Source organism: Homo sapiens, chromosome 1 (genome assembly GCF_000001405.40).
Source record: "Homo sapiens chromosome 1, GRCh38.p14 Primary Assembly".
NCBI classification, from domain to species: domain Eukaryota; kingdom Metazoa; phylum Chordata; class Mammalia; order Primates; family Hominidae; genus Homo; species Homo sapiens.
In genome coordinates, this window is record NC_000001.11 from 164,214,129 (window position 1) to 164,222,834 (window position 8,706).

At 40.1% G+C, this 8,706-nt stretch overlaps 1 annotated feature.

The window, feature by feature from the left end:
• Positions 2,492 to 2,991: an enhancer, noted in NCBI's record as "H3K4me1 hESC enhancer chr1:164185857-164186356 (GRCh37/hg19 assembly coordinates)". NCBI's record gives its function as "activates a minimal SCP1, AML or CMV promoter by ChIP-STARR-seq in naive H9 embryonic stem cells {active_cell/tissue: H9 hESC(naive)}" and the evidence as "EXISTENCE:reporter gene assay evidence [ECO:0000049][PMID:30033119]".

Genomic DNA, 8,706 nt, shown 5'->3' on the forward strand with positions numbered 1-8,706 from the left:
ATGGAGTGGGGAAAGAAATTTTCAACACATACAATGAGAAAGGAATAATACAGACTATGTAATGAGCCCCTATAAATTAATTAGAATACACCAACAACTAAGAAACAAATACAAATGTGAGCAACATTTGAGGAGGTATTTTAAAAAAATAAATATTCAAATAGATAATAAATATTTTTAAATGGTGCTCAATGTAATTACCAATACAGGAAATTAAAATTAAAATCACAATGCAATGCTACTACACACTTACAAGGTCAGTTAATTTAAAAATAAATAAATAGGCCGGGCACAGTGGCTCATGCCTGTAATCCCGCACTTTGGGAGACTGAGATGGAAGGATTGCTTGAGGCCAGGAGTAAGAGACCAGCCTGGTCAACATGGCAAGAACCCCATCTCTAAAAATAAATAAATAAATAAAACAATATTGATTATTGTCAGGGATGTGAAATAATTAGCACTCTCGTGCCCTGCTGGTGAGAGGGTAAACTGGCACAGCCGCTTTAAAAACATTTTGGAATTATCAACTAAAATTTAACATTCCCATACCCCATGACTCAGAAATTCCGTTCCAAGGTTTATATCCAGCAGAAATCCATGCACATATGCATGAAGACTTCTATATATAAATGCTCATGGCAGCATTATTCATAATACTTCAAATTAGGAACAATTCAAATCTGCACCAAGAGTAGAATGAAAAAAATAAACTACAAATAATCACAGAATTAAATATACATTGCAGTGAAAATAAAGGAATTAGAGCTACATGCAATAAAATGAATGAAGTTCACAACATAATGTTAAGCAAAAGGAGCCAGGTGAGAAAAAAAATTATATACAGTGTGATTACATTTAATCTGAAACTCAAACAGCAGGCACATTTAACTATATTGTTCAAAATTGCATGCTCAGTTGGTAAAGATTTAAGAAAAACAAAGAAATAATTAACATAAAATTCAAAATACTGGCTACCTTTATAAAGAAGGAAGGCATTGGCTATTAAAAGCAGGTTATAAGTGCTCTTCAACACTGGGATGCTGACAACGTTTAATTTCTTAACCTGGGTGGTAGTGAAACAGATGTTTGCTTTGTGATAAATTAATGAATTCTATACCTTTGCAGTGCACTTTTCTATACTATGTTATAAATTGTAATTTAAAAGTTTTTTGGAAAATAGTACAGGGAAATAAATATTTATCAGAAATTGTTTTGGAATTAGAAACTATTTTTAAATATTTTACTTTTATACATACAAATGTATGTGTGTATAAAATATTTTGCATATTATTATCAAGGAAGCCCTCTCTGATAACGTGAAATTTGAGCAGAGACTAGAAGAAAGTAAAGAGTAGAGTTACGTAGGTGGCTGAGGGAAAGGCTTGACAAGTATAGAGAATAGGACATGCAAAGACACTGAGGTGTGGAATATGCTTAGCTTGTTGGCAGAACAGCAAGCAGAATAGTGTGGCCAGAATATGATGAGTGAGAAACATAAAGGTAGGAGACAAGATCAGAGAGTTTTCAGTGCATCAGATCAAGTACAGCCTTGTAGGTCATTGTAAAGTGTTTTAACTTTATTCTGAGTTAGATGGAAAATCACTGAAAGGCTTTGAGCTGAGGAGTGACACGAACAAAATTGTATTTTAAGGTTGTCATTCTGCCTGCTGTGTGACAAATAGACCAGTCAGAAGAGAGACTAGCTGGGAGGCTATTGCAACAGTCCAGGTAGTAAATGATGGTAGCATAGGCTAGGTAGTAGTAGTGGAATGGGTGAGAAATAGCTAAACTCTAGATATAATTTCATGGTAGAGCTGACGAGTTGGAGAAAGAAGGATGTCAAGAAAGACACGAAGATTTTTGTTCTGAGAAACTAGATAAAAAGTATTCGCAGGGGCTGGCAGCCAAGATGGCCGAATAGGAAGAGCTCCAGTCTACAGCTCCCAGCATGAGCGACGCAGAAGACAGGTGATTTCTGCGTTTCCATCTGAGGTACCAGGTTCATCTCACTAGGGAGTGCCAGACAGTGGGCGCACGACAGTGGGTGCAGCGCAACGTGTGCCAGCCGAAGCAGGGCAAGGCATTGCCTCACTCGGGAAGCGCAAGGGGTCAGGGAGCTCCCTTTCCTAGTCAAAGAAAGGGGTGACAGACGGCACCTGGAAAATCGGGTCACTCCCTACCTAATACTGCACTTTTCTGATGGGCTTTAAAAACGGCGCACCAGTAGATTATATCCCGCACATGGCTCGGGCGGTCCTACACCCACAGAGTCTCGCCGATTGCTACCACAGTAGTCTGAGATCAAACTGCAAGGTGGCAGCGAGGCTGGGGGAGGGGCACCTGCCATTGCCCAGGCTTGCATAGGTAAACAAAGCAGCCAGGAAGCTCGAACTGGGTGGAGCCCACCACAGCTCAAGGAGGCCTGCCTGCCTCTGTAGGCTCCACCTCTGGGGGCAGGGCACAGACAAATAAAAAGACAGCAGAAACCTCTGCAGACTTAAATGTCCCTGTCTGACAGCTTTGAAGAGAGCAGTGGTTCTCCCCGCATGCAGCTGGAGATCTGAAAACGGGCAGACTGCCTCCTCAAGTGGGTCCCTGACCCCTGACCCATGAGCAGCCTAACTGGGAAGCAGCCCCCGGTAGGGGCAGACTGACACCTCACATGGCCGGGTACTCCTCTGAGACAAAACTTCCAGAGGAATGATCAGACAGCAGCATTCGCGGTTCACAAAAATCCGCTGTTCTGCAGCCACCGCTGCTGATACCCAGGCAAACAGGGTCTGGAGTGGACCTCTAGCAAACTCCAACAGACCTGCAGCTGAGGGTCCTGTCTGTTAGAAGGAAAACTAACAAACAGAAAGGACATTCACACCAAAAACCCATGATGATGTACATCAACATCATCAAAGACCAAAAGTAGATAAAACCACAAAGATGGGGAAAAGACAGAGCAGAAAAACTGGAAACTCTAAAAAGCAGAGTGCCTCTCCTCCTCCAAAGGAACACAGTTCCTCACCAGCAACGGAACAAAGCTGGATGGAGAATGACTTTGACAGGTTGAGAGAAGAAGGCTTCAGATGATCAAACTACTCCGAGCTACAGGAGGAAATTCAAACCAAAGGCAAAGAAGTTCAAAACTTTGAAAACAATTTTCACGAATGTATAACTAGAATAACCAATACAGAGAAGTGCTTAAAGGAGCTGATGTAGCTGAAAGCCAAGGCTCGAGGACTACATGAAGAATGCAGAAGCCTCAGGAGCTGATGCGATCAACTGGAAGAAAGGGTATCAGTGATGGAAGATGAAATGAATGAAATGAAGCAAGAAGGGAAGTTTAGAGAAAAAAGCATAAAAAGAAATGAACAAAGCCTCCAAGAAATATGGGACTATATGAAAAGACCAAATCTACGTCTGACTGGTGTACCTGAAAGTGACGGGGAGAATGGAACCAAGTTGGAAAACACGCTGCAGGATATTATCCAGGAGAACTTCCCCAATCTAGCAAGGCAGGCCAACAGTGAGATTCAGGAAATACAGAGAACACCACAAAGATACTCCTCGAGAAGAGCAACTCCAAGACACATAATTGTCAGATTCACCAAAGTTGAAATGAAGGAAAAAATGTTAAGGGCAGCCAGAGAGAAAGGTCAGGTTACCCACAAAGGGAAGCCCATCAGACTAACAGTGGATCTCTTGGCAGAAACTCTACAAGCCAGGAGAGTGTGGGGGCCAATATTCAACATTCCTAAAGAAAAGAATTTTCAACCCACAATTTCATATCCAGACAAACTAAGCTTCATAAGTGAAGGAGAAATAAAATACTTTACAGACAAGCAAATGCCGAGAGATTTTGTCACCACCAGGCCTGCCCTAAAAGAGCTCCTGAAGGAAGCACTAAACATGGAAAGGAACAACCGGTACCAGCTGCTGCAAAATCATGCCAAATTGTAAAGACCATCGAGGCTAGGAAGCAACTGCATCAACTAATGAGCAAAATAACCAGCTAACATCATAATGACAGGTTCAAATTCACACATAACAGTATTAACTTTAAAGGTAAATGGACTAAATGCTCCAATTAAAAGACACGGACTGGCAAATTGGATAAAGAGTCAAGATTCATCAGTGCGCTGTATTCAGGAAACCCATCTCACATGCAGAGACACACATAGGCTCAAAATAAAAGGATGGAGGAAGATCTACCAAGCAAATGGAAAACAAAAAAAGGCAGGGGTTGCAATCCTAGTCTCTGATAAAACAGACTTTAAACCAACAAAGATCAAAAGAGACAAAGAAGACCATTACATAATGGTAAAGGGATCAATTCAACAAGAAGAGCTAACTATCCTAAATATATATGCACCCAATACAGGAGCAACCAGATTTATAAAGCAAGTCCTGAGTGACCTACGAAAGGACTTAGACTCCCACACAATAATAATGAGAGACTTTAACACCTCACTGTCAACATTAGACAGATCAACAAGAAAGAAAGTTAACAAGGATACCCAAGAATTGAACTCAGCTCTGCACCAAGTGGATCTAATAGACATCTACAGAACTCTCCACCCCAAATCAACAGAATATACATTTTTTTCAGCACCACACCACAACTATTCCAAAATTGACCACATAGTTGGAAGTAAAGCTCTCCTCAGCAAATGTAAAAGAACAGAAATTATAACAAACTGTCTCTCAGACCACAGTGCAATCAAACTAGAACTCAGGATTAAGAAACTCACTCAAAACCACTCAACTACATGGAAGCTGAACAACCTGCTCCTGAATGACTACTGGGTACATAATGAAATGAAGGCATAAATAAAGATGTTCTTTGAAACTGATGAGAACAAAGACACAACATACCAGAATCTCTGGGACACATCCAAAGCAGTGTGCAGAGGGAAATTTATAGCACTAAATGCCCACAGGAGAAAGCAGGAAATATCTAAAATTGACACGCTAACATCACAATTAAAAGAACTAGAAAAGCAAGAGCAAACACATTCAAAAGCTAGCAGAAGGCAAGAAATAACTAAAATCAGAGCAGAACTGAAGGAAATAGAGACACAAAAAACCCTTCAAAAAATTAATGAATTCAGGAGCTGGTTTTTTGAAAGGATCAACAAAATTGATAGACCGCTAGCAAGACTAATAAAGAAGAAAAGAGAGAAGAACCAAATAGAGGCAATAAAAAATGATAAAGGGGATATCACCACCGATCCCACAGAAATACAAACTACCATCAGAGAATACTACAAACACCTCCACACAAATAAACTAGAAAATCTAGAAGAAATGGATAAATTCCTCGACACATACACCCTCCCAAGACTAAACCAGGAAGAAGTTGAATCTCTGAATAGACCAATAACAGGCTCTGAAATTGTGGCAATAATCAATAGCTTACCAACCAAAAAGAGTCCAGGACCAGATGGATTCACAGCGGAATTCTACCAGAGGTACATGGAGGAACTGGTACCATTCCTTCTGAAACTATTCCAATCAATAGAAAAAGAGGGAATCCTCCCTAACTCATTTTATGAGGCCAGCATCATCCTGATACCAAAGCCGGGCAGAGACACAACCAATAAAGAGAATTTTAGACCAATATCCTTGATGAACATTGATGCAAAAATCCTCAATAAAATACTGGCAAACCGATTCCAGCAGCACATCAAAAAGCTTATCCACCATGATCAAGTGGGCTTCATCCCTGGGATGCAAGGCTGGTTCAATATATGCAAATCAATAAATGTAATCCAGCATATAAACAGAACCAAAGACAAAAACCACATGATTATCTCAATAGATGTAGAAAAGGCCTTTGACAAAATTCAACAACCCTTCATGCTAAAAACTCTCAATAAATTAGGTATTGATGGGACGTATTTCAAAATAATAAGAGCTATCTATGACAAACCCACAGCCAATATCATACTGAATGGGCAAAAACTGGAAGCATTCTCTTTGAAAACTGGCACAAGACAGGGATGCCCTCTCTCACCACTCCTATTCAATGTAGTGTTGGAAGTTCTGGCCAGGGCAATTAGGCAGGAGAAGGAAATAAAGGGTATTCAATTAGGAAAAGAGGAAGTCAAATTGTCCCTGTTTACAGATGACATGACTGTATATCTAGAAAACCCCATCGTCTCAGCCCAAAATCTCCTTAAGCTGATAAGCAAATTCAGCAAAGTCTCAGGATACAAAATCAATGTACAAAAATCACAGGCATTCTTATACACCAATAACAGACAAACAGAGAGCCAAATCATGAGTGAACTCCCATTCACAATTGCTTCAAATAGAATAAAATAGCTAGGAATCCAACTTACAAGGGACGTGAAGGACCTCTTCAAGGAGAACTACAAACCACTGCTCAAGGAAATAAAAGAGGATACAAACAAATGGGAGGACATTCCATGCTCATGGGTAGGAAGAATCAATATCGTGAAAATGGCCATACTGCCCAAGGTAATTTACAGATTCAATGCCATCCCCATCAAGTGACCAATGACTTTCTTCACAGAATTGGAAAAAACTACTTTAAAGTTCATGTGGAACCAAAAAAGAGCCCGCATCGCCAAGTCAATCCTAAGCCAAAAGAACAAAGCTGGAGGCATCATGCTACCTGACTTCAAACTATACTACAAGGCTACAGTAACCAAAACAGCATGGTACTGGTACCAAAACAGAGATATAGATCAATGGAACAGAACAGAGCCCTCAGAAATAACGCCGCATATCTACAACTATCTGATCTTTGACAAACCTGAGAAAAACAAGCAATGGGGAAAGGATTCCCTATTTAATAAATGGTGCTGGGAAAACTGGCTAGCCACATGTAGAAAGCTGAAACTGGATCCCTTCCTTATGCCTTATACAAAAATCAATTCAAGATGGATTAAAGACTTAAACGTTGACCTAAAACCATAAAAACCCTAGAAGAAAACCTAGGCATTACCATTCAGGACATAGGCATGGGCAAGGACTTCATGTCTAAAACACCAAAAGCAATGGCAACAAAAGACAAAATTGACAAATGGGATCTCATTAAACTAAAGAGCTTCTGCACAGCAAAAGAAACTACCATCAGAGTGAAGAAGCAACCTACAAAATGGGAGAAAATTTTCACAACCTACTCCTCTGACAAAGGGCTAATATCCAGAATCTACAATGAACTCAGACAAATTTACAAGAAAAAAACAAACAACCCCATCAAAAAGTGGGCAAAGGACATGAACAGACACTTCTCAAAAGAAGACATTTATGCAGCCAACAAACACATGAAAAAATGCTCACCATCACTGGCCATCAGAGAAATGCAAATCAAAACCACAATGAGATACCATCTCACACGAGTTAGAATGGCAATCATTAAAAAGTCAGGAAACAACAGGTGCTGGAGAGGATGTGGAGAAATAGGAACACTTTTACACTGTTGGTGGGACTGTAAACTAGTTCAACCATTGTGGAAGTCAGTGTGGCGATTCCTCAGGGATCTAGAACTAGAAATACCATTTGACCCAGCCATCCCATTACTGGGTATTTACCCAAAGGATTATAAATCATGCTGCTATAAAGACACATGCACATGTATGTTTATTGTGGCACTATTCACAATAGCAAAGACTTGGAACCAACCCAAATGTCCAACAACGATAGACTGGATTAAGAAAATGTGGCACATATACACCAGGGAATACTATGCAACCATAAAAAAGGATGAGTTCATGTCCTTTGTAGGGACATGGATGAAACTGGAAATCCGTCATTCTCAGTAAACTATCGCAAGGACAAAAAACCAAACACCACATGTTCTCACTCATAGGTGGGAATTGAACAATGAGAACACCTGGACACAGGAAGGGGAACATCACACTCTGGGGACTATTGTGGGGTGGAGGGAGGGGGTAGGAATAGCATTAGGAGATATACCTAATGCTAAATGATGAGTTAATGGGTGCAGCACACCAGCATGGCACATGTATACATATGTAACTAACCTGCACATTGTGCACATGTACCCTAAAACTTAAAGTATAATAATAATAAAATAAAATTTAAAAAAAAGGATTCGCATTTACTGAGATGGGGAAATGGAGGAAATATGATCATTCTCTGCTAGGATGTAATATAATATAAAGCCATCTAAATGGAATTTTTTTCTTATGAAAAAATTAGGGCCGCCTTGCTGTGGTTCGAATTTGTTCCCCCTAAAATTTATGTATTGAAACTTAATTTCCATGGTGGTGGTATTGAGAGGTAGGGCCTTTTGGAAAGTAAGTCTCGAGAACTCTGCTGCCATGAATGAATTAGCGCCTTATATAAAGAGAGTTGGAGGAAACTAGTTTAGCCCATTTTTCCCTCTCTTCTCTTTTACTATACAAGGACTCAGCGTTCATCCCCTCCAGAGAATGCAGCCACAAGGTGCCACTTTGAAATGAAAACCGAGTCCTCACCAGACACCAAACCTGCCAGCACCTTGATCCTGGACTTTCCAGCCTCCAGAACTGTAAGAAATAAATCTCTGTTGTTTATAAATTACTTAGCCTGGAAGTCCTAGCCAGAACAATCAGACAAGAGAAAGAAATATAAAGGGCATCCAAATTGGAAAACAGGAAGTCAAACTGTCACTATTCTTTGATGATAGGATTGTATACCTACACAACCCTAAAGACTCACCCAAAAAGCTCCTAGAGCTGA